Raw genomic sequence first — 22,779 nt, 5'->3', positions numbered from 1 at the left:
GCTCACACCAGTAATCCCAGCAGTTTGGAAGGCTGAGGTGTGAGGACCACTTGAGTACAGGAGCTCAAGACCAGCCTGGGCAACATAGTGCAACCTCATCTTTACCAAAAATTTTAAAATTAGCCAGGTGTGGTGGTGTAATACCTGTAGTTCCAGTTACTCAGGAGGCTGAGGTGGCAGGGTGGCTTGAGCCCAAGGGATCGAGGCTGCAATGAGCCATGATCATGCCATTGCACTCCAGCCTGGGTGACAGAGCAAGACCCTGTCTCAAGAAAAAAAAAGAGTGCTGAGAGTGGGCATCCTTGTCTTGTTCTGATTCTGAAAGGAAATGCTTCCAGTTTTTGCCCATCCAGTATGATGTTGGCTGTGGGTTTGTCATGGATGGCTCTCATTTTGAGGTATATTCCTTCAATGCTTAGTTTATTGAGAGTTTTTAACATGAAGGGATGTTGAGTTTTATCAAAAGCCTTTTCTGAATCTATTGAGATGATCATGTGGCTTTTGTTTTTAGTTCTGTTTATGTGATGAATGACATATACTGATCTGTGTATGTTGAACCAACTCTGTGTCCCAGGGATGAAGCCTACTTGATCGTGGTAGATTAGCTTTTTGATGTGCTGCTGGATTTGGATTTGTTGAGGATTTTTGCATCTATTTTTATCAAGGGTATTGGTCTGAAGCTTTCTTTTTTTGTCGTGTCTCTGTCAGGTTTTGGTATCAGGATGATGTTGGCCTCATAGAATGAGTTGGGGAGGAGTCCCTCCTTCTCAATTTTTTAGAATCATTTGAGTAGGAATGGTACCAGCTCTTCTTTATATATCTGGTAGAATTCAGTTGTGAATCCATCTGGTCCTGGGCTTTTTCAGATTGGTAGGCTGTTTTTTTTTTTTTTTTTTTTAAAGACAGAGCCTCACCCTGTCACCCAGGCTGGAGTGTAGTGGCACAATCTTAGCTCACTGCAACCTCCACCTCCCAGGTTCAAGCAATTCTCCTGCCTCAGCCTCCTGAGTAGCTGGGATTACAGACATGCACCACCGCGCCTGGCTAATTTTTGTATTTTTAGTAGAGACAGGGTTTCACCATGTTGGCCAGGGTGGCCTTGAACTCCTGACCTCGGGTGATCCACCTGCCTCAGCCTCCCATAGTGTTGGGATTACAGGTGTGAGCCACCGCGCCTGGCCTGGTAGGCTTTTTATTACTGATTCAATTTCAGAACACATTATTGGCCTGTTCAGGGATTCAATTTCTTCCTGCATGTTCTCACTTGTAAGTGGGAGCTAAATATTAAGTCCACGTGGGCACAAAAAAGGAAACAGCAGACACCAGGGCCTACTTGAGGGTAAAGGGTGGGGGGAGGGTGAGGATCAAAAAACTATCTATCATGTACTATGCTGGGTGATGAAATAATCTGCACACAAACTCCTGTGACACGCAATGTACCTGTGAACAAACCTGCACATGTACCCCTGAACCTAAAATAAAAGTTTAAAAAATAATGAATTAATTAATTAATTAAAATTCAATATTAAAAATTAACAAAAGAAAACTAGGTTTTATGGACACAAAGATGGAAACAATAGACACGGAGGACTGCTTGAGGGTGGCGGGTGAGACAGTGTGTGTGTGGGAAGGCAACGTACTTGGTACTATGCTCACTACCTTGGTGGTGGGATCATTCGTACATCAAGCCTCATAATTACCCACATAACAAACCTGCACATGTACATTATGAACCTAAAATAAAAGAAAAAAAATGGTTAAAATAAAATTTTATGTTATGTACATTTTACCACAAATTTTAAAAATTGCTCCTGAAAAGCGATTTGGGATGAATTGTGCTATCCCAAATCAAGAAAAAGGAAAACTTTGAGACTTGCATAAATGTAGAAGTAAGGAATTATGTTCTGGGAGTATGTTCTGGAGAAGCAGGTAAGGGCAAGAGGGGGAAAGTTGCATATTCCGAGAAGAGACAAGAAGTGGAAAAGGCGGAGGACATGAGTTCTACTAGACAATCCTGGGCACAGACCCAGAGTGTCTCTGAGCAGATGGCAAGTTTGGTCTTGACAGCAAGGAACGGCTGAGGGATTCCATGTCATTGAGAAATAAACCATCTAGCTCAGGACTCAGGGGAATGACTTTAAAAACACACACACACTAGCCCTTCCACATATCAAACAATACAGTATCCTTCCTCAGACCTATAAACAAACATCTGTGCATCCTAATGGTAATTGCAATAAGGAAGTAGTTGACTTAGGAAATCACTAGTTGGCCTTCAGGAGACATTCATGCAACCTGAGATGTTAATTCCCATCAGACTCCGAACAGAGAGTGTGGTGCTGCTCATGATAAATGTGTGCTGACGGGCAGTTCCTGTGTTGCAGGAAGTGTTTCCCAGGAGGGCTGTGGTGGAACAGTGGGAAGCCATGAAGGACCAGCTCACGCCACACCTGCCTCCTGTTGAAACAAGCAGCACCCAGATCTGGTGCTTTCACATTGTTTTTACAAAGAAAGGAATAAACTACTATGTTCAGAGAATCAGGAAGGACTCTAGTACTCACCCCGTCTCAACTCTTGTTTGTGTGGGCGTTGCGGGCAGAGATGAGAAGGGAGATGAGACAATGCATGTCTCACCTGGGTATTGTGGAGGCTGCGGAAGAGTCTGCACTGGTTTCAAGATTTATCAGAAAAACAAACAAAGGAAAGTATTCTCTGAAACAGTAGCAAAAGTCCCAACTCCGGATCAGAGGATGATCATCTCATGTAATAACTCCAGTCTATTTCCGTCAGCCTGTGTGAATCTAAGAACCAACCCAACTACATCCATGCAGTCAGGGGGTTTCACCTGCCCAGTGTGGGCAGATGGGGGCCAGGGGTTGGGGCCTGGTCATGGCCTTGGCAGCTCACTCTGTCTTTCTGTGTCTCAACTTATGCTAAAATGAAGAGGTAGAAATAAGTAGTTTCTAATGTGTAATGTCTCTATTCACTCTGCATTGCCAACGTTTAATAATAAGAGTGATGGGGCCGGGCGCGGTGGCTCACGCCTATAATCCCAGCACTTTGGGAGGCCGAGGCAGGCGGATCACGAGGTCAGGAGATCGAGACCATCCTGACTAACACGGTGAAACCTCGTCTCTACTAAAAATACAAAAAAATATTAGCCGGGCATGGTGGCCGGCGCCTGTAGTCCCAGCTACTCGGGAGGCTGAAGCAGGAGAATGGCGTGAACCCGGGAGGCGGAGCTTGCAGTGAGCCGAGATCGCGCCACTGCACTCCAGCCTGGGTGACAGAACGAGACTCCGTCTCAAAAAATAAATAAATAAATAAATAAATAAATAAATAAATAAATAAATAAAGATAAGGGTGATGTAATACATACCAATAGAATTAATAAAATAGAAACAAATTTAATGACCCAAATTCTACCACCCTAACATAAATACTTTAGTTTTATATTTACCTGTCTTTATTCTGCAGGATAAACAAAGCATAACTGGTTCTGAAAAGTACTAAAATGTTTTTGCTGTTTTTTCTTTCTTCTTCTTTTTTTTTTTTTTTTTTCTGAGACAGGGTCTCGCCATATCACCCAGGCGGAGTGAAGTGACGCAATCCTGGCTCACTGCAGCCTCGACCTCCCAGGGTGAAGCATTTCTTCTTTTCAGAAAAAAAAAACTTATTAATACATTTTATTTTTTTCATGGTTAAACCCCTATAACCTTCTAAACTCCAAGAACCTATTCTGAACCATGGTGACTCTTCATGTGCATGGTATGGGCCGAATTGTGTCCCCCCAAAATTTATATGTTAATGTCCTGACCCCAGTACTTCAAAATGTGACTGCATTTGGTGAAAAAGTTTTTAAAAGAGGTGACTAAGTTAATCGTATTAATGGGGCCATTATAGTAGGCAGTAATCCAATGTGACTGATGTCCCTAAGGAAAGAGGAGATTGGGACACAGACAGATGTGTACACAGGAAGACCGTGTAAGGACACAGGGAGAAGACAGTCATGTACAAGCCAGGGAGAGAGGCCCTGGAGAAGCCAACCGTGCTGACACCTTGATCTCTGACTTCCAGCCACCAGCACTGTGAGAAAATAACTTTCTGTTGTTTAAGCCACCTAGTCTCTGCTACTTTGTTACTGCAGCCCCAGAAAACTAACCCAGTGAGATATGATTGTCTTTCTGGGTAAACTATACCAATCACACTAACAGTCATTGACCACAGAAGTGTATTGTGACCAAGACCTTCCATATAATACCAAGGCAAACACCTACACACACACACACACACACACACACAAGCTGAGCTGTTTTAGTAGGTACACACCTATTAAATTGTAACATAAATGTGTTTTGCAACAATTTTTTTTGATCCTGTAACAGAACTAGGGTCTTGCAAAGTAACCACATCCTCTGCCTTCAGCTGCTTCTCCCTTCCTGCCAGCCAGCCACACTCACTAGATATTTTGAGAGGAGCCCGGGACAAGGGGTTAAGTGGACTGTGTCCTTCCAGCCCAGCCTGCCTCTTGAATTCCCTCTGAGAAGGTTTGGCCAACAGTCTACTTTTCCAAAACAGAGACCAGAAACACCCCTCACACTTTCTTCAGAGAGGGTGTAAGCATCTCCAGGGATCAGATGGCTCACTTCTACAGACCTAAGATGATAAATGCTCCAGGGACTCACCAGCAGTAGCCAGAGCAGCCCCTTTACCTTCCAGGAATGGGGAGGAGGGCTTCCCAGCAGCACTAAGGTTTGCTTTCGGATTCAAAGCACCAGCTTCCCCGGCAGAGACCTGGGTATAGAGAGTGGCAGCTGCACAGAGACTCATCTGTGTCGTGACCAATACAGCTTTAAACAGGGACAAAGAGAACAGGGAGAGCCAGGCAGTCTTAATTTAGGGAAACAGGTCACAAGGCTCTTCAATTTGGAGTTGGTATAGCCAAGAACCCCCAAGAATTGAGAAGGTAAACAATGCACCTTCCCCTCCTTTCCTACATCATTCTGAGGAGAGCATGGAGGCTGAAAAGAGCGTGGCCCTCGCTGCTCATTTTAGCTACAGCCCAGCACCACGGATGACCTCCAAAAAGTGGGCAGTATAAAGCACTGGACCACGGCATACTGAGAAGCACCTGCTGCATGCCCAACAGGATGGGGCATGAACACCCCTGAGGATTTCTGGTCTACTAAACAACCAGCAACAGCAGCTAGGACGATTGCTAAAAGGCACAGCAACTGTAATGAATATAACAACCGGCTGCTGCTGCTGCTGCTGCGGTTACAACCTAGTTTCAGCATTTGCCTCAGCCAGATAATTCATCCTCTTTCTCATGGGGAACTCTCCCCTGACCACTATTACCTCCTCAAATTAAAAATCAGCCTCTGCATTATCACTTCCTTTGCACTGTCACTGAGGCCACAAAAATGTAAGGGAGACAGTGACACCCCGCCTAGTCCTGCCCATGGGTACTTTGTCCTACCTCCCCAGTGACATCATGTTTTTGCAGAGTTAGGGAAGAATGAGCCAGGCTTCGCACTGAGACTCTCCAGCAAGCTAGGGCTGACCTAAAGAAGTGTGTAACAGGAAAAACGGCCGCCAAAGCCATCAGAGGAATGCTAACCTTGTATTGTGTTCAGAGACGATTTTAGCGAACACAACTTCAGAAGAAGGCATTGACAAGACAAAGGCAAGTGGCTCTATCTTTATGTGCAGCTTTCCACCCACATCTTCCCACTTACAAGTGTGTGAAATATTAATATCCACATTCAACAGAGGAGGTCCTTTCCATCAGGCCTTTGCCCAACGTCAACTTCTCAGGGAAGCCTGCTCTGGTTATGCTATCTACAATATCAACACTGGCCAAGTGCGGTGGCTCATGCCTGTAATCCCAGCACTTTGGGAGGCCAGGGCGGGAGGATTGCTTGAGCCCAGGTGTTCAAGACCAGCGTGGGCAATAGAGAGACCTCATCTTTACAAAACAACAACAACAAAAAAATTTAACAGCTGGGCACAGTGACATGTGCCTGTAGACCCAGCTACTCAGAGGGCTGAGGAAGTAGCATCACTTGCGCCTGGGAGGTTGAGGCTGCAGTGAACTATGATCACACCACTGCACTACAGCCTGAGTGACAGGGTGAGACTTTGTTTCAAAACAAACACAAAACAAAATATCCATACCAACCCCTACGTAAACACATCCGACCCCATATATCACCTTAGCACTTAATCATTCTCTAGTATGCCATCTTACTTCCCTTATTGCCTGTCTCCCAGGCTAAAATATATAACATTTATAATTACATATTCCAAAACCTCCATGAAGTCAAGACAATGTCTGTTTTGCTCAGTGCTGTATCCCCAGCAGCTGGAATAGCGCCTAGCATGTAGTAAAGGCTCATACAGATGTGTCGCGTGAATAAATAAGGGAACTGAGGCTCCTAAGGTTGAATCCAGCAATGCAAGCTGCAAAAAGGCAGAACTCAAATTTGCCAATACCAAATTTTCCCCAGGCACTGGTGGAAGTGGAGAGAAACTGCTACATTCACTGGCATCATGGGAGACAGAGAGACCATCAAACAAAAGTAGGTACAATAGGACCCAAGGGGAAAAAACACAAGCTGTTTGCATTTCTTTGAGAAAGGCTAGAAAAGCAAAGGCAAGTGGTAGGACTCATGAGAAAATACAAAAGTGACAGCTAATTCCAGGCTGGTGAAGGAAGAAAAACATAGGAAGATGAGGCAATATGAAAATAGGAACAGAGCTCTGGGGTGGAGGAACCTACTCCATCCCCGGGGCTTTCTTTAACAGCAGATGGAAAAATGAAGAATTCATATAGTATGCTTGCTTCATGAAGAGTCAGGAAAAGAAAGAGAACAATAAAAGAGTCTAGGTCGGGCACAGTGGCTCATGCCTGTAATCCCAGCACTTTGAGAGGCCAAGGCAGGCGGATTGCCTGAGCTCAGGAGTTCAAGACCAGCCTGGGCAACAGGGCAAAACCCTGTCTCTACAAAAAAAAAAAAAAATACAACAATTAACAGGCCTATGTGGTGCGTGCCTGTAGTCCCAGTGACTTAGGGGCTGAGGTGGGAGGATCGCTTGCGTCTGGGAGGTTGAGGCTGCAGTGAGCCGAATTCGCACCACTGCACTCCAGCCTAGGTGACACAGTAAGTGACACCCCATCTCTAAAAGTTTAAAAAATAAAAAAAAATGTCTAAACTTTGTAACAGCCCAAGAGACCTCTGAGGGTTGAGGTGGGGATAGGACTGGGAGGGGCTGGGATGAGAAAGCTGTGGAAGGAGCAGATGGTATCCTAAACCAGGATGGGGAGGGGAGGGGAGGGAAAGAAGGGAAGCTTGTTTCGGAGCGGCCCAAAGGAGAGGCAAGGAGATAGGTAGAGGCTGCACACTTAGGACTAGCCAGGTGGAGTCTAAGAGAGCACTTGGCACCTCTCTGGAACAGAAGCAACACAGATAGCCAGACTGAGCTAGGGCCCGACAATCAAGGGAGGTTACGACAGATGTCAGTGATGGCCATTCCCAGAAGCTATGCCTAGAATGTCCCCTTTTCCAATCAGGAATTATGCGGAGGGTCAAGTAGCCCAGAGAAGCTCCCCTTGGGGTGTGAGTCCTGGACCTAACTGATGCAAATAATCCTATGGGCTTGCACTGTTGTGGGTACCACCCCATCCCTAGGCACTCAGAACTCCACCCTGGAGGGGAGACGCCTTGTTAGGAAAATACCTCAGGGGAAACGATGGTTGTGGGAGTACATGATGACAGATTGGGGACAATGAGCAGAAAATGAAAGATGGGGACCAGGTGGTGCCCTGACCAGGCCAGGCCAGCTTGCCAGCAGACCCAGTGGTGATGTTTGGGCATGTGACAATCTGCTGGAAAGGAACTCCCGAAGGGTGGTCTCAGAACCAAGATATGGGCATGGATTTCCCAGAGAGAGGTACCAGATTCTGCCCCAATGTGAAATGACCACAAGGAAGCCTGCAGTCCTCTCGGCTTAAGTAACCACCGAATCAAAAATCATCTATATAGGTGAAATGATAGGATGGCTGGGAATTGCTTTATAATTCTCCAGCAAACCAAACAAAATGTGGGAGGGGATAGAATGAACAGAGTGGGGAGGTGTTGTACATATTGAAGGTGGGAGAGGGTACGCGGAGATTTATTGGACCAGTGGATAGCAGTGTCCTTTCCAAACCAGAAGCAGCACCACCTGAGGGCTCTAACAAGTTGCAAATTCTCAGGAGGGAGCTGACCCCAGATCTGCTTAAAAATACACAACAAAAAACTCTAGGGCTAGGGCCCAGCAATCTGTGTTTTAACAAGCCCTCCAGAGGATTTCGCTCCGCGGTTCGGATGCTTGATCAAATTTGAGACCCACTGCACAATACCTTTCTCTCTCCTTTTGTGCATGTGCTCTGATTTCCATAATAAAGGGTTTTAAAAAACCGTCCCTATGGGCATTTTTGTTGTCGAGTTGTTTATTTCTTACATCACTTGTCTTCAATTGCTATTTAACTATTGTTTTGATCTTTTCCTGGAGCCAGAACAGAAAAGCCAGAAAGCAGAAGCCACTGAGACTCTCTCTCTCCCGCCGCGCCCCGCCCCCCCCCCCCCCCACCGCCCAGTTTGCAAATATAAACTTCCTGTAAGAGACGCCCCCGGCCGGCGCACACACCGCTCACACCTGAAGGCTGTGTCTGCAGAGGGGCCCGGGAACGACTCCCAGGGCGACGTGCAGGCCGCATTTCGGAGCTGCCCCACTTTCCCCGGCCTTCACCGGGTGCCCTCAGCGTACGCCCAGGTCCTGGCCCCAGGCGCTCCCGCCTCCCGCAGTCCCAGAGTCCGGGCCCAGGTGGCACTGCCACGCGTCGATCCTGTGTGGGCACCCGGGCCTCGCGAGAGACGACCCCTCTAGAACTGACTTTTCAGAACTGCAGCTCACGAGATATGGGTCCCCTCATCTTTTCCGTTCTCCCTTTCAGAAGTTCTTTAAAAAGACGGGGAAGGAGGTGAGGAGAGCTGGAGGTCGAGTCACAGGGCGGGGCCCTCCACGCACTGTCGCCTCCTCCCCGCTGTTTCGGGTCCTGGATGAGGGTGCGGAGCTCGGGAGACCTGGGCGGTCGCAGGAGGTGAAGGGTTAAGAAGCGGGAGGCCTCCTCCCGCTCCGCGTATCCAATGCCCCTTCCTCCTCCTCTCCCTGTTCCTCCCGCCACCCCCCTTGTGTGCTGTAAAACAATCCCTTTGTTTCCTCTTTAAGACATTAGCCTCAGGGGCCATTATAGGAAAGAAAGGTAGCCAGGCCCTTTTATCTGCGAGAATCCATTAAGCATGGCCTCTGTACAGCAGGCCGGTCGGTTATGGGCTGCTCCACGAGGGGTCCCAAAGTGGGAGAACCCCTCCCAAGCGAGGACCCAGACGCACCTGTATCCCATCTCACTACCTCCCCCTCGGGAACTGGAATTTAGGGGGAGTGGAACGCTGGCAGTTTTCAAACGAGAGTGAATATAGAGCCACGGTGGGTCTCCCGCAGAACCCCAGTTTCACACCTTCCTGCCCTCGCGCCATCTCTTCCTGCACACCCGGGAAATGGGATAAACTTTCGACGGCAAGATGGGAAATGACCCTACTCTTCGTTTCCTCAGCGGGTCTTGGTGCGGGGCCGCCACCGTGCGCGGGAGAGGGGACGCAAGCAGCTGCTGGTCCGGTCGACCAGACGCGCACGTGTGTATCCGCCAGACAGCTGTGGGTCTGTCCGAGGGTACGCGAGGACGCCTCTGTCCCGCAGCCCCGCACGCATTTGATTGTGGTGCTGGGCGACAGCTGCGAATTTTGCCACTGGGGGACCGAAAGAGGGCCTTTTACCTTTCTTAGGAAGCTGTGATGCAAAATGCCTGCTGAAAGCACTGGAGGTTTCATGTGTCTCATCAGAAAATAATCTAACACCGATTCATTATTTATATCTTCCCCCAAGAACCAGTCGCCCCAAATGCGCACTCTGCCCGTGCGCTCCGTCTCACCTAGCCGCCCAGTCACAACAACAAACACCGCCCGCAGGCCCAAGGCACAGGCTCAGTGACCGCGGCTCCGAATTCTGGATTTGGGGACCTGGCGCAGGGGGAGGGGAGAAGGCGTGGCAGCCTGGCCAGGGCCCGGGGAAGGGCCAGTGTGATACTTTTATCAAGTTTAGTGGGCGGAATCTTTTCTTTTTTAAATTGCCAATAATTCGGATTGTTGGAAGTAACGGTGGCAGGAAAGCCACAAAAGAAAACTCTTTCTTTAAATTCTCTGTTGTATCCAGGTCAAAGATACAATATCAAGTCAGTGTCTCTTGCTTGAAATCTCTGTGGAATGACCTTCTTTGGATCTTCTCCTGCTCTTTCACCATGAATATAAATATTTTCTCCACTTACCATATGTTACCCACGCACTTCCACAGACCCCACCGCCACCGCCCTGCTGGGCTCCTTGCAAAAGGAAAGTCTGCCCTGCTCTCTCCTCTCAGCCGGGAGGGCAGGGGGAGGAGGGAGCAGTGTTGTTCAAGGGACAATGTCACTTTCCTCTTCATCAAGATTCTTTGTCAATTGCTGGGGAAATAATTGACCTCAAGCTACTTCAGTCACAACTAATAGAAAAATGGAACGGTGATGTGTCCAGCTGTTAAGGGGAGGCAGGCTGGAAAACAAAGGTGGCAAGGAAGGGGGCTGACATGAAAAATATGTAAAGCTTCATGTGCAAATTCTTGGGAAACAGTGGAATTTCACTTTAAAATAAAACAAAAAACCAGAATTGTGTTCATTTGTCATATCTCCAAGGTTGCGGTTCTTGATTTGTGCCTTTGGATAGCTTAAAAGGAGAATCCCAGCACAGAAGCCCTTTCATACAGCTGCCGTCTTTTCGGTTCTCTGACCCTTTCCTTAACTTACACAATGGCACTTTTCCCCAACACCCTTCACTCAGTTAGCAGCCAGAATGATTCAGCTCCATCTGATTCAGGGGCCCAGGGAATAATTTGGTAGTTCTTTGAGTATTGTTTGGCATTTATTGTTTTTGGTTTAGTTTAGTTTTTGTTTTGTTTTGTTTTTTTTGTTTGTTTGTTTTTTGTTTGTTTTGTAACTAGTAGGAGAAAGCAGCCTGAAAGAGAAAAGGAAAAGTAGGAGGAGTGAGAGGGATAACCAGAGAGAAGGCCAAGAAGAAATTCAGCAATTGCCTTTCCTGGCTTCCCTTAAAGAGATGATGGTTAGGAGTGGTTTGTTAAAACAAATCTCATATTTCAGCCCACAAGATGTCCCATTTATGAAGCTGATCCTGTTCTAAGTTAGACCAATCAGGCAAAAATCAATAAGGACATTCAATGCCACCAATGTGGTAAGAAGCAAGAACAATATCAAACAGCAACTCAGCGAGGCCTCAAACATGAGCTCTTAGCCTGAACTGTGTCTTCTCCAAAGAGGAGAAAAGAGGACTTGGGGTAGTGGAGGGGAGGGGGCAGTGGCAATCCAGATGCTACAAAAACAGCCCGATATCTTCCATGGTACACATTTACCTTCCAGCGTGCGACTAAACCGGTGTGGTGGATGTGTGAGTGCTGATGAACAGCCACCGTGGAAGAGCCAAGGTCCCTGCCTTCTCCAGGCCCAGCATTGAAACACAAAAGGTGGAGAAGAAGAAGAATATTAATATGGCAGAAACCCCTGTCACCTGGGTGAAAGAGCTCATCAGACTCACAAATACATTTTTGACAGCTTATATCTTCTCCATGGAGTTGCAGGGAGTGGTGAGTGAGTGATCAGGCCAACCTTAAAAGCAAGCACATAAGCACACAGAAAGTAAATGTTATCAGTGCAGATTCTCAGTGACAAATATTTGGTATCATTTCAAAAATTTCCCCAAGAGCATGATGCATTTTTCTCTAATGGAATTTTTAAAATTTTTGTCTGCTCTAAGATGTCACCAGGTAAATGCGATAATTTGTACTATGGTCAGAATGTTTGTGTCCTCCCCAAATTCTTATGTGGAAATCTTATACCCCAAAGCCATTGTAGTAGGAGGTGGGACCTTTGAGAGGTAATTAGATCATGAGATTAGGACCCTTATAAAAGAGGCCTGAAAGAGACTCCTCCCCCTTCCATGTGATGATGCAGCTAGAAGACACCATCTATGGACCAGGAACCAGGGCCTCACCAGACATTGAAACTGCCTGCACCTTGATCATGGAGTTCCCAGTCTCCAGAACTGTGAGCAATAAATGTATGTTGTTGATAAGCCCCTCAGTCTCTGGGATTTGGTTCTAGCCGGATGACTGGACTAAGACAGTCAGCATATATCAATTTATCCAACCTCTCCCAAGTGCTTTCAAGATCTTCTCCAAGGCTTATTCATGTCATAGAACAATCAGCAGGTATACTTTACTTCTCTCAGAATTACTAACTCCAACCAGCTGAGTGGTGTTTATTTAAGGAAAGACTTCACTGCTTAAGGAATTCTCTAGTATTCATCACGGTTTACAGCTGCTTAACCCTGTTTCACTTGAAGCTAAAGAGATTTTTACATATAACATCCTTGAAAAGAGCTAGTTCTGGACTAGTTGTATTCTAGCTGTATCTAGAATGCACCTAATTGTTTACCTAATGGAACTTCACCTAATAGAAGCTCACCTAATGGTTCAAAGATGAAGCTGTTGAATTACTGTCTGGTAACGGCAATAGATTTGCACTGAACTCTCTATGTTCTCTTTCAGTCTTCCTTATGACCCCTGGCACTCATTTTCAAGGTGGGAAACCAGGATTGGGGTAAAATCTGTGGATATAGTAGTAAGGTTAATTGGCTCCTGTGAAAATGAAACCTACGGCTTGGCCTCATTAGCCTTGCATTAAATCTAACATCTCAAAGTGCAGTTGAATGGACATAGTTCTTACCTGGAATATATTTGTAATTTGGTAGAATCCAATATGGTTCTCACCAAATATTGCCCCATCCTGAGATGTGCTGGGTGAAACAGAGGAAATTACAATAAGATGTCAATCGATATTCTAGATTAATGAAAGTCAAATGCTTTCAAAGTATGTTTTTCATTCTGCAAATAATTTAGGTTTAAACATCTTAAAATACATTTTATTATGTATAAATTATGATTATATTATGTAAAATTAAAAAATGCCTAGAAGAGAAGCTAAAAAGAAATAAATCAAATGGTTTATGTTTTTATTTGGATGGCAGGATTATGAGTAAATGATTTTTTCTCATCTCAGTTTTCCAAGATGTTATTGAGTGGTTATAATTACTTGCTAATGGAATAAAATATATGATCATTCCATAAATATTGGTTAATGTTTATGCATAGGAATCACTCAAAAAAAGTGACTTGACAAGTACAATTTCTGTTTTCTGAAAAAACAGTGACTTGAACAAGCATAAGAAGAAGTAACAGGAGGAAAGGAGCAGTCATGAGTGCTTCCTACCATCTGTTGGGCACATCACAGCGTTATCTCATTTAATTCCCTCTGCTGGTAAAGGAGACACTGATTTTACAGAGTAGGGAATTGAAGTTCTGAGAGTGCATGTAAATTGCTCAAGATCTCACTGGTAAAGGGGCCACTCACACTCAGTGTTTTATGCTTTCCTCCTGCTACGTGAAAGACATAGTAGCAGCAGAAACATTTAATAGGTTAGACAAATAAATAAGTGTAACATCCTGTCCTACCAAAAATCACTGTATTGAACTGGTCTGACTACACCCCTTACATAGAATCCCCCTCCCCACCATACACACACACACACACACACACACACACTGCTGTCACTGATTGGACCAGAATGGTCACCTGACCCAAAGCTGCTGAGCCATTAACTTCTCAATAATTTACATAAGGAGATGCATAAATTGTGATAAAGTCTAGCGTAAGCTTTTCAATTCAGATCTTAGGCCAGTTGGGGGAGTAGAAAGGATTGGTTCTGTAGAGAGCAAAGATAACAGAGGATGGAGGCCACATGGATAAGCAGAGAAGACGTGCCTACAAAGCAGGGAGGGAAGCAGAAATGGAGGAACAAGAGGCCATATGGTCCTCCTGTGTAGTTCAGAAGAGCTTTTCCCATTCTCACAGCTTCCCTGTGGACAATGTTTCCCATGGAGCCCTCTGTATTTGAACAATACCACATTTTATTTGAACTAGCTTGAGTGAATTTCTTTTCCCGCAATAAAAATATGTCAAACTACAAGCCAGGTGCGGTGGCTCATGCCTGTAATCCCAGCACTTTGGGAGGCCAAGGTGGGAGGATGGCTTGAGCCCAGGAGTTAGAGACCAGCCTGGGTAACATAGTGGGACCCCTGTCTCTACAAAATTTTTTTTTAAAAAATTACCCAAGTGTGGTGGTGTGCGCCTGTAGTTCCAGCTACTTGGGAGGCTTGTGGTGGGAAGATAGCTTGAGCCTGGGAAGTCAAGGCTGCAGTGAGCTATGATTGTACCACTGCACTATAGCCTGAACGACAGAGTGAGACCTTGTCTCAAAAAAAAAGAAAGAGAAAGAGAGAGAAAGACAGACAGAAAGAAAGAAAGACAAAGAAAGAAAGAAAGAAAGAAGAAAGAAAGGAAAGAGAAAGAAAGAACGAAAGAAGAAAGAAAAAGAAAAAGAAAGAAAGAAAGAAAGAAAGAAAGAAAGAAAGAAAGAAAGAAAGAAAGAAAGAAAGGAAGAAAGAAAGAAATCTCAAACTACAGAAGCAATAAACACACACTTTGTCAGAATCTCAAGTCACAAGTCTCTGCCTGGCTTTGCCAATCATGACCAGTGCTCCCAAACACATATCCATGTGGATGTCTCTCAGGAACCTCAGACTCAGTATTCATTAAGTGAGTGAACCCATCCATTTCCCTCCACATGCTCCCAAAGTTTCCAAACTCAATGAATCACTAATATCCTCCCAGGTTTCTGACCTGTGAGTTCCCCTCAACCCTCCCTTCTTAGCTTCCCATATCCAACCTATCTCAAATCCTCTCAAATACTGCCCATGTCCTTCTGCTTCTCTGCCCCACCCCAGTGCAGGCTCCACCGCCTCCCGTGTTACAGGCCACAACCTCCTTGCTGGTTTCCCTGCCTTGGTCTTGCTCCTCTCCAACAGCCAATACTCAAGTCTGGTCAGTGTACACACAAACACATACACACACACACACACACACACACACACACTCACATGCTCGCGCATGGGCGACAGCATTTAAAACCCTCCCATGGCTTTCCTTTTAGGGTAAAATCAAAACTCATGTGCGTGGTCTCCAGGGCACTGTTCATTGTAACCTCTCCAGTCCTGTGTCTCAGCATCCTGCCCACACTCTGCCCAGGCTGAACCGCTTTCAGTTCCTCAAACATGTCATGCTTATCTGCCTGAAGGACTTTTGTGTACCCTGTGCCTCTCAGTGTGGAACTCCTCCCCTACCTAGCGGCTCTTACTCTTCTCTTGTGCCTCAGCTTAGATTTCATGTCCTCCACAAAGTCTTATCTGATCTTCTGAACTTAAGGTTAAGTATCCCTAGTATGTGGCCCTGTGACCTTCTGTGCCTGACCACCCAGAGTACTTGCCAACCTTCACTGTAATTACTTGATTGTCTTTCTCCCTGGTTTGACTGTAAACTCCCTGTAGGCAGGGTATTGCTCTGTTATATCTCCAATGCTGAGCCCATCCTGTGATCAGAGAAGAGAATGTGGAACCTGGGGGCCTGGTTATATAGCAACTAGAGCATCACAGTCATGAGGTGCTCAGGATCTAGGCATGTATGATGGTCTTGGAAAAGAAATAGCTGTGAGAAGGAGTCAGTAAGAACAAAGGGGCTTTGGACCAGTCTCAGTAGATGAGGACAGTGGTAGAGAAGAAGAGTATTCAGGAGAAGTTGGAACCAGTATGGCTCCAAGACATTTGGAAGTTGAGAGAGGATTTCTGGTTTAGCAGGAAGATGATGATTTGGTTTTGTGAGAGTCTCATTGGGTTTGTGATGGCACAAGAAGTCCAAGTGACACTTAGAGTGGCAGGACACCAGCTGCAGAGAGGCAAGGGCCAGAAATGACAATTTGGAAGTAACTTGTCTAGAGGTGATGGTGGAAGAATGAAGGAAGGAGCTTCTACAGTGTGAGCCAAATATAGGGCCAACAGGAACTTGACAGTTAAGTCAAGAAGAGCAGAAACGAAGATGGAAGAAGGACTTCAAGGAATGAGTGAGAAAGCAGAGACTAGAGTCCATCCCCAGAGCATAATATGAGGTTATGAAGGCCAAGAGAGGAGAGAGATTAAGGAGGAGCTAGCTTGCAAGATTCAGTGCTGATTGTTGTAATGGCCAGCCTGTATTTAAGCCCTTTGCATGAGCAAGGCATGTTTTGAGGAACTTTTCATCAATGACTTTGTTTAATTCTCACAGCAAGTCTATGAGATGGGTGCCACTATTATTCTCACTCTATAAATGAGTTACCTGAGGCTCCAAGAAAGCCTACAGCTTATTGAGGTCATATGGCCAGAAAGCAGCAGAGCTAGGACTCAGACCCATTGTCTTGGAACTCAGAGCTGGAACTTGGGAGATCAAGGGAAAGATGGAATGGCGGGGTTGGGGAAGGGGAATATCAGTTTTCTGTGACTCTAGATAGCTTGATGAAACAAAGCAGAAATCTCTATTGTGGAAGAGAATTGAAGTTGAAAAGATAGGAAGCCTAGCTTCCTATCTGATGAGTGGGGCCAGGAGAGGGTGACAGTCAGAGGCCAGGAGAGAAGGAGGCCCAAGGCCTCTAGACCCATGTCCCTGCCTCTGCCTAGCAGCTGCCTCTGCCCAAAAGAGTGAGCTAAGGTGGTTTCTCCAGAGCCTTCTCTGCTTCCTGACTGTAAATAGCCCCAGGGTTGCCATTCTGGGCGCTTTTCAACAGGCCAAAGGGCCGTTGAGAGCTGGCAGTGCAGAGATGAACTGCTAGCTTCCAATCAACTTCCCAGGGCCCGTGTGTAAAGCTCCCTGCAGCCCTGGCAGGAGACAGAGGCCCTGAGAGGAACAGGAGGTAGGCAGACCCACCCATTTAGAGACCCCACTAGGGGAACTGCCTGAGGCAAACAGCTGGGGTGTCCACAGCACCCCATTTTAAAAGATGCCAGAAACAGTCAATCTTAGCGCGTGAGTTTACTTACACCTGACAACAATTCTTTCCCCAACATGGAGACCTGGGGATGAAGGCGGAAGAGTCCTCCCACCCCCACCTCAGCCCCTAGTTCCTCTTCTTCCTGCTGCCTCATTTACTCTTCCTTTATTTCTTCCTCTCCCTCATATTTCTTCCCAAGGACTGGAAAACCCTTGTCCATCAAGAACCTAAGTTTAGGAAAAAGAGAAGCAGGGACCGGGTGCGGTGGCTCACACCTGTAATCCCATCACTTTGGGAGGCCGAGGCAGGGGGATCATTTGAAGTCAGGAGTTCCAGGCCAGCCTGGCCAACATGGTGAAACCCCGTCTCTACCAAAAAATACAAAAAAATTAGCAAGGCATGGTGGCATGCGACTGTAATCCCAGCTACTTGGGAGGCTGAGGTAGGAGAATCACTTGAACCCGGGAGGCAGAGGTTGCAGTGAGCCGAGATGGCGCCACTGCACTCCAGCCTGGGTGACAGAGTGAGACTCCATCTAAAAAAAAGAAAGAAAAAAAAGGAGAGAGAAGCATGAAGGGAGGAGAGAGAATCTCTTTTCCTAGGAACTCCGAGTTGACTTGGTGCTTTTGTGGGGAGAACAATCAAATCTGTGGACTCACTACCCAGGCCAGGGAGTGTGAGTGAAGAGCCGCAGGCCTCCAGGAAGACATGTGGGGCAGATTTGGGGACTGAATTTCAGGCCTCTGGGACATATAGGCAGAAGGAGAATCAAAGGAAGAGGAGAAAGGAAGCCATGCCCACGTCAGAGAGGACTGCTTCCAGTGGGTACAAAATTCACCTGAGAGGAATATTGGTCCTCCATTGGATGAGTCATGGATCTCTCACCTCAAACCTTTGCAACCCAGCCCCTCCCACCAGTCTGCCAGCTCCCAAGACACACTCCTTTGCACCTCCCTCCTGCACATCAGACACCATTTATTTGTCTTTGTTCTGCTGCTTCTGCTGCTTTCAATAAATATGGCTGGCTTTAAAGTCAAGGCAAAGGAGATTTACAGATAAAAGGGATGGGGTCTGAACTGTCAGCTGTGTTGCTGGCTTGCAACTGGACCTGAATCACAGTAGATGCCGGTTACAGGCAGCCCACAGTAATGACAGCACCCCTGGGGTTGTGCAAATCACCAACGCTGGTAAGCACAGAGGAATCGGTGGGTGAAGGGACCCTGAACCCCTTCTCCACTCTATTTCTCCCCATCCCGGTGACAGGGGCCTCCACGCGGCTCATTTCAGCCTCAGGCCTTTATGTGGATGTCTGCCTGGACCATTTCTTCCAAGGGGCACCATGGTTGGCTCAAATATCAACTCCTCAGAGAAACCTCTCTATTCTGTTTTATTATCTTCAAGGCACTTATCTCTATCCAAAAGTTATTTTTAAAATTACTTCCTAGCCCCCACCGCCACCCCATAAAAGTTCCATGAGAGCATGGCCTTGGGGTACCCTGTTCTCACCTGCATCTGGGGCACATAGGAGAGCACCTGGCTTTTACCAAGGCTGCTCTGTAAAAGTGTGTCAAATTGAATTCATTGAAATTGAAGCTTCCACCAACAAAAAGCAGCCAAATGTTTAAACTGATTGTTTATCAGCAATTAAAATTTAGTTTCAAATCATTATTTTTGCCCATCTCTCAAAACAATAGTCCATCTTCTTCCTAATCAGTTGCCTCTTTCCTTTCATCTCACCAGATCCTACATTTGGAATGTCGAGAATATCTGTAGACTCCCGACAGTTAAAGGAAACCTATGGCTTTAAAAAGACGGTCATCACTGAAGATTGCATTAAACACGCTGTAAAAAGAAAATCTCCAAAGGAGATAAAGGGCCTCAGGGGTGGGTGGTGCCTGCCCAGCTGCCCCACCCCTGCAGGGAAAAACCTGCCCGCAGCCTCCTTAACCCTTCCGTGGCCCGCACCTCAGGAAGATGCTGGGAAAGATCAGAAGAATCCAAGCACTACTTGCTGACTGGAAGAAAACAGCAAAAAGGAAAAAAAAAAAAAAAAAAAAAAAAAAAGACCGATTCCAGTGTTGCTCCCCACCCCCATCCTTTCTTCTTCCAAAGAGGCTTCTGTTCAGAAAAATTAAAGGACTCTGATAGCAGATCACAAATTCAGGACAGAAAAGCTCCACTATGTAGCCAGAGACTGTATTGTGGGTAACCAGACGTTGGGCACTTTTTTTGCTTATGAACTTTTGGACACCACTCGAATAAAAGACTATTTGTTCCTGGACAAACACTCACCAGCAAAGAAGCTTTTAAGAGGAGGGGATATTTTTGTTTTGCATTTTCTCTTTGTGAAAAAAAAAATGAGAGAGTGAAAGAGATAGAGAGACAGAGACCAAGAGACACTTGCTCTACTTACTTTTCACATAAAAGAACTTAGACTAATTTGTTTACTATTGCTGGGGATTCATGTTTACAAGTTCTTGCAGCATTGTGGTAAAAGAAATGCTATTTTTAAAAAGTAAAAACCCACACAAGTCTCCATATTCAGGGTTCTTCTTCCCCTTCCTGCTTTCCTCACTCCCCACTTTCATTTCACAGATGGCCACAAACACATGAGCCAAGTCGAAGCTCAGGAGGCCCTTGTCTTTCTCTCCCAGACCCCTTTGAGACTGCCCTGTGAAAGGGTCGTACCTGAACTTGGAAGGCAATCTCTAGTTCAAGTTCAGTGGAATTCTACTTGCCACAAAAGTCACACCCCACCTGTGCTCCTTTTCAGCAGACCAAACTCCTGGCAGTCCTAAATACACACCCTAGATTTCAATCCCCCAACCCTTGCAGTTTTCATTTTCCTTATATACAGGGACAATTTCTGAAATCAAGCTAGCAAGATGTTGAATAATGTCCTTTTTAAAAGAGGGTGTGCCGTAACTGGGTCACTAACAGTGTGACTAATCACGGGTGCCTGTAACCACAGTGACTGTGGCTTCAACCTGACTTGGTCATTTGTAAACCACAAAATGACCCAGCCATCTGCAGGGGCTGCTGGCTCTGGAGTTCGAGGCTCTTCCCACGCCTGTCCCCTCCTCACCCACAGGAGCAATGGGAGCAGCCCCTGGCCGGAACCACCCTCCCCTTGCCTCTGCACTGGCAGCATCTGGGAGGGAACTACTCACTTCAAACCTCTTCTTACTCTAGTCTTTACAGGCCTGTGTTGTAGAGGCAACCGCAGCAGGCATTTGCAACAGTTGCTCTGGCCTGAGTTCCATTTAGCAACACCAAGTCCAAAGGAGAAAAGGAAGGGGTCTAGAATACATTTTTTTTTCAAGAAAAAAATCAAAACAAAACTGGAAAAGTGGCCTGAGAAAAACTTTCCCCAGCTAGTTTAGGGCTCTTTGTTGTGCCTAACATTTATTCATTGCACTAAAAGTTAATAAAATCCATAAAGTTTTCCCCAATCACTAAAGCAGCTTAAGGAATTTTCAAGACAGGTGTGTCCTTTTGCCCAAGGGTCCCCAAATGTATCCTAAGTTAGGAGCACTAAGGCTGCAGTGCCTCAATGCAGGTCCCTCCCAGGGATCAGCCCAGATTGGGAGCTGCAAGGAGGAACAATTAACCCCTTACCTTCTGGAGACCCAAGTTCATTTTGGGGCAACCTGCAGCGCTTTAAGAAAAATCTTGGCCAGGTGCAGGGGCTCACGCCTGTAATCCCAGCACTTTGGGAGGCCGAGGTGGGTGGATCACCTGAGGTCAGGAGTTCGAAACCAGTCAGGCCAATATGGCTAAACCCCATCTCTACTAAAAATACAAAAATTAGCCGGGCGCGGTAGTGGGCGCCTGTAGTCCCACATAATCGAGAGGCTGAGGCAGGAGAATCACTTGAACCCGGGAGTTGGAGGTTGCAGTGAGCCGAGATTGCGCCATTGCACTCCAACCTGGGTGACAGAGAGAGACTCCGTCTCAAAAAAAAAAAAAAAAGAAAGAAAAAGAACAAAGAAAAATCTTAGGGCCAAAGGGCTTATTTGTAATTGAGGAGGATGATTGGTGGTAGCGGTGAGGAAGATCTGCTCTCACTACCTCTCAGCGTGAACCCTCCACCCCATCTCTCTGAAAATGGCCTTACTTTTTTCTTCATGGTCTGGGTAGAATTGGTCGAAGGTACACAAAAGACTAAGCAACCTCTCTTTCAGCCCCACCCCCTTACCTGTGTTCAACCATTCTCTTAACCATCAATCCCTTTTTTTTTTCTCCTTATCACATTAACTCAGTAGGGCAACTGCTGCTGTCCTGGGGAGGGAAAGAGTCTTCTCCAAAAGGACAGACGGAAGCAACAAATGGGAAGGAAACTGACAAAGCTTGTGAAATCCCAAACCGGATTGGTAAGAACAACATCATAAATTACGGATCCCTCGAGCCGCCTCCGGCCTGTCACTGCGTGGTCTGTCTCCACGGCCCTGCCCGGCGCGGGCGACACTTGTCCATGAGCGCGGGTCTGTCGGGCCTCAGATGTCCCCGCCCGGCCCGGCCGCAGCGCCCCGCCAGGTGGCCCAACTTAGGGCCGCGGGGGGCGCTGGGCGCTCAGCCTGGAGGGACGCGCCAGCTGCGGGGACGACGCCCCCCAGCCAGCAGAGCACAGGCTCACCATTGTTTCCGGAGACCCCCACGGGAACACCCTGAGCTGGCCTGGGCGCTCCGGTCCGAGGGGCCAGGGCCGAAGAAGGGAATGCGAAGGGCGCCGGGGGCGGGCGGGCGGAGAGGGTGCGGGATGTGCCCGCCTGCCCCGGGCGCGCAGGGCCCGCGGCCTTGGTGGGCGGTGTGGCGGGACCCAGGGCAGCGTGCGACATCTGCGCGAGAGCGCGGGGGCGGGAGGGGACGTCGTCACACTCAGGACGCCCATCTGGACAGGCTTTCCTCCCGTGCCAGAAGCGAGGAGGGAGAAGTCAAGGTTAAACGCTGCGGCGGGGCTGCGGGCGGGCACTGGCGGGGGCGCACAAAGCCGCCGGCCCCTCCACTCGCGCCCAGCTCGGCGCACGCCGCCCCCAGCCCGCCAAGAGCCCCGCGCGGGCTACCGTGGCCCCACCTTGCCCTTTGTCTTTCCTCCGGAGCAGATGTGCTGTGACCCCTGTAGCATTCGGGCTGTCAAGATTAAAGGAGCCTCCACTCTGTTTCGAAACTGCAACTCTTGTCCCCCAGACCTCATCAACCCCACCTCTTGTTTTTGTTTTTGTTTTGTGTTTTTGGCCACAAGTCAACCACTCATCATAAGGTGGGCAAACCCCTCGGTCCACATTTAAATTTGTTTGTGTGACAAATTGTCCTGCCGTTCCACCCTCTTAGCTACTGTAACCAGCACCAGAGAAACAATGAATTACGAGATTAAAGTTACCGAAAAACGACTCATCCTGCAGATGTTGTCTGCTGAAGGCTGTTCTATGGACAAATATGTAAAGGGTCTTTGTGTGTGTGTGTGTGTGTGTGTGTGTGTGTGTGTGTGTGTGTGTGTAAAGCCAACAGCCTCACATTTGTTCTTTGGTAATTTGTCTTCAATATGCCTCCCCCCGACCCCCATGATGAAAGGTCAATTATCAGACTCAAAAATAAGCAACCTTATCTGGCAAGCCTGTACTCCCAGAAATGAATGGGAGAGCTGGGGTTTCTCATGGGGCAG

At 47.1% G+C, this 22,779-nt stretch overlaps 1 long non-coding RNA gene across 2 annotated transcripts, besides 10 other annotated features; it reads left to right on the top strand.

The window, feature by feature from the left end:
* Positions 2,513-2,697: a silencer, noted in NCBI's record as "fragment chr8:61841844-61842028 (GRCh37/hg19 assembly coordinates)". NCBI's record gives its function as "represses an EF-1alpha promoter that drives an FKBP-Casp9 reporter gene in an ReSE screen in phorbol 12-myristate 13-acetate-treated (for megakaryocytic differentiation) K562 erythroleukemia cells {active_cell/tissue: K562(+PMA)}" and the evidence as "EXISTENCE:reporter gene assay evidence [ECO:0000049][PMID:32094911]".
* Positions 2,513-2,800: a biological region, named in NCBI's record as "ReSE screen-validated silencer GRCh37_chr8:61841844-61842028".
* Positions 2,671-2,800: an enhancer, noted in NCBI's record as "active region_27432". NCBI's record gives its function as "activates an Ori minimal core promoter by ATAC-STARR-seq in GM12878 lymphoblastoid cells {active_cell/tissue: GM12878}" and the evidence as "EXISTENCE:reporter gene assay evidence [ECO:0000049][PMID:35858748]".
* Positions 4,965-5,104: an enhancer, noted in NCBI's record as "active region_27431". NCBI's record gives its function as "activates an Ori minimal core promoter by ATAC-STARR-seq in GM12878 lymphoblastoid cells {active_cell/tissue: GM12878}" and the evidence as "EXISTENCE:reporter gene assay evidence [ECO:0000049][PMID:35858748]".
* Positions 8,839-9,352: an enhancer, noted in NCBI's record as "H3K27ac-H3K4me1 hESC enhancer chr8:61835189-61835702 (GRCh37/hg19 assembly coordinates)". NCBI's record gives its function as "activates a minimal SCP1, AML or CMV promoter by ChIP-STARR-seq in naive H9 embryonic stem cells {active_cell/tissue: H9 hESC(naive)}" and the evidence as "EXISTENCE:reporter gene assay evidence [ECO:0000049][PMID:30033119]".
* Positions 9,353-9,866: an enhancer, noted in NCBI's record as "H3K27ac-H3K4me1 hESC enhancer chr8:61834675-61835188 (GRCh37/hg19 assembly coordinates)". NCBI's record gives its function as "activates a minimal SCP1, AML or CMV promoter by ChIP-STARR-seq in naive H9 embryonic stem cells {active_cell/tissue: H9 hESC(naive)}" and the evidence as "EXISTENCE:reporter gene assay evidence [ECO:0000049][PMID:30033119]".
* On the top strand, positions 21,184-22,518 carry LOC105375938 (uncharacterized). 2 transcript variants are annotated; one of them, NR_168430.1, is made up of 3 exons: positions 21,184-21,269; positions 21,383-21,490; positions 22,220-22,518. It is a non-coding gene; the product is annotated as an uncharacterized LOC105375938 (long non-coding RNA). The 2 variants fall into 2 exon arrangements; NR_168431.1 differs by having other exon boundaries at positions 21,380-21,490.
* Positions 21,605-21,784: a silencer, noted in NCBI's record as "silent region_19232". NCBI's record gives its function as "represses an Ori minimal core promoter by ATAC-STARR-seq in GM12878 lymphoblastoid cells {active_cell/tissue: GM12878}" and the evidence as "EXISTENCE:reporter gene assay evidence [ECO:0000049][PMID:35858748]".
* Positions 21,605-22,254: a biological region, named in NCBI's record as "H3K27ac hESC enhancer GRCh37_chr8:61822345-61822846".
* Positions 21,695-22,196: an enhancer, noted in NCBI's record as "H3K27ac hESC enhancer chr8:61822345-61822846 (GRCh37/hg19 assembly coordinates)". NCBI's record gives its function as "activates a minimal SCP1, AML or CMV promoter by ChIP-STARR-seq in naive H9 embryonic stem cells {active_cell/tissue: H9 hESC(naive)}" and the evidence as "EXISTENCE:reporter gene assay evidence [ECO:0000049][PMID:30033119]".
* Positions 21,805-22,254: a silencer, noted in NCBI's record as "silent region_19231". NCBI's record gives its function as "represses an Ori minimal core promoter by ATAC-STARR-seq in GM12878 lymphoblastoid cells {active_cell/tissue: GM12878}" and the evidence as "EXISTENCE:reporter gene assay evidence [ECO:0000049][PMID:35858748]".
* Positions 22,519-22,779: the final 261 nt, after the last annotated feature.

This window comes from Homo sapiens, chromosome 8 (genome assembly GCF_000001405.40).
Source record: "Homo sapiens chromosome 8, GRCh38.p14 Primary Assembly".
NCBI lineage: Eukaryota > Metazoa > Chordata > Mammalia > Primates > Hominidae > Homo > Homo sapiens.
The sequence above is the reverse complement of the archived record's forward strand: the minus strand, read 5'-3'. Positions and strand labels throughout refer to the sequence as shown.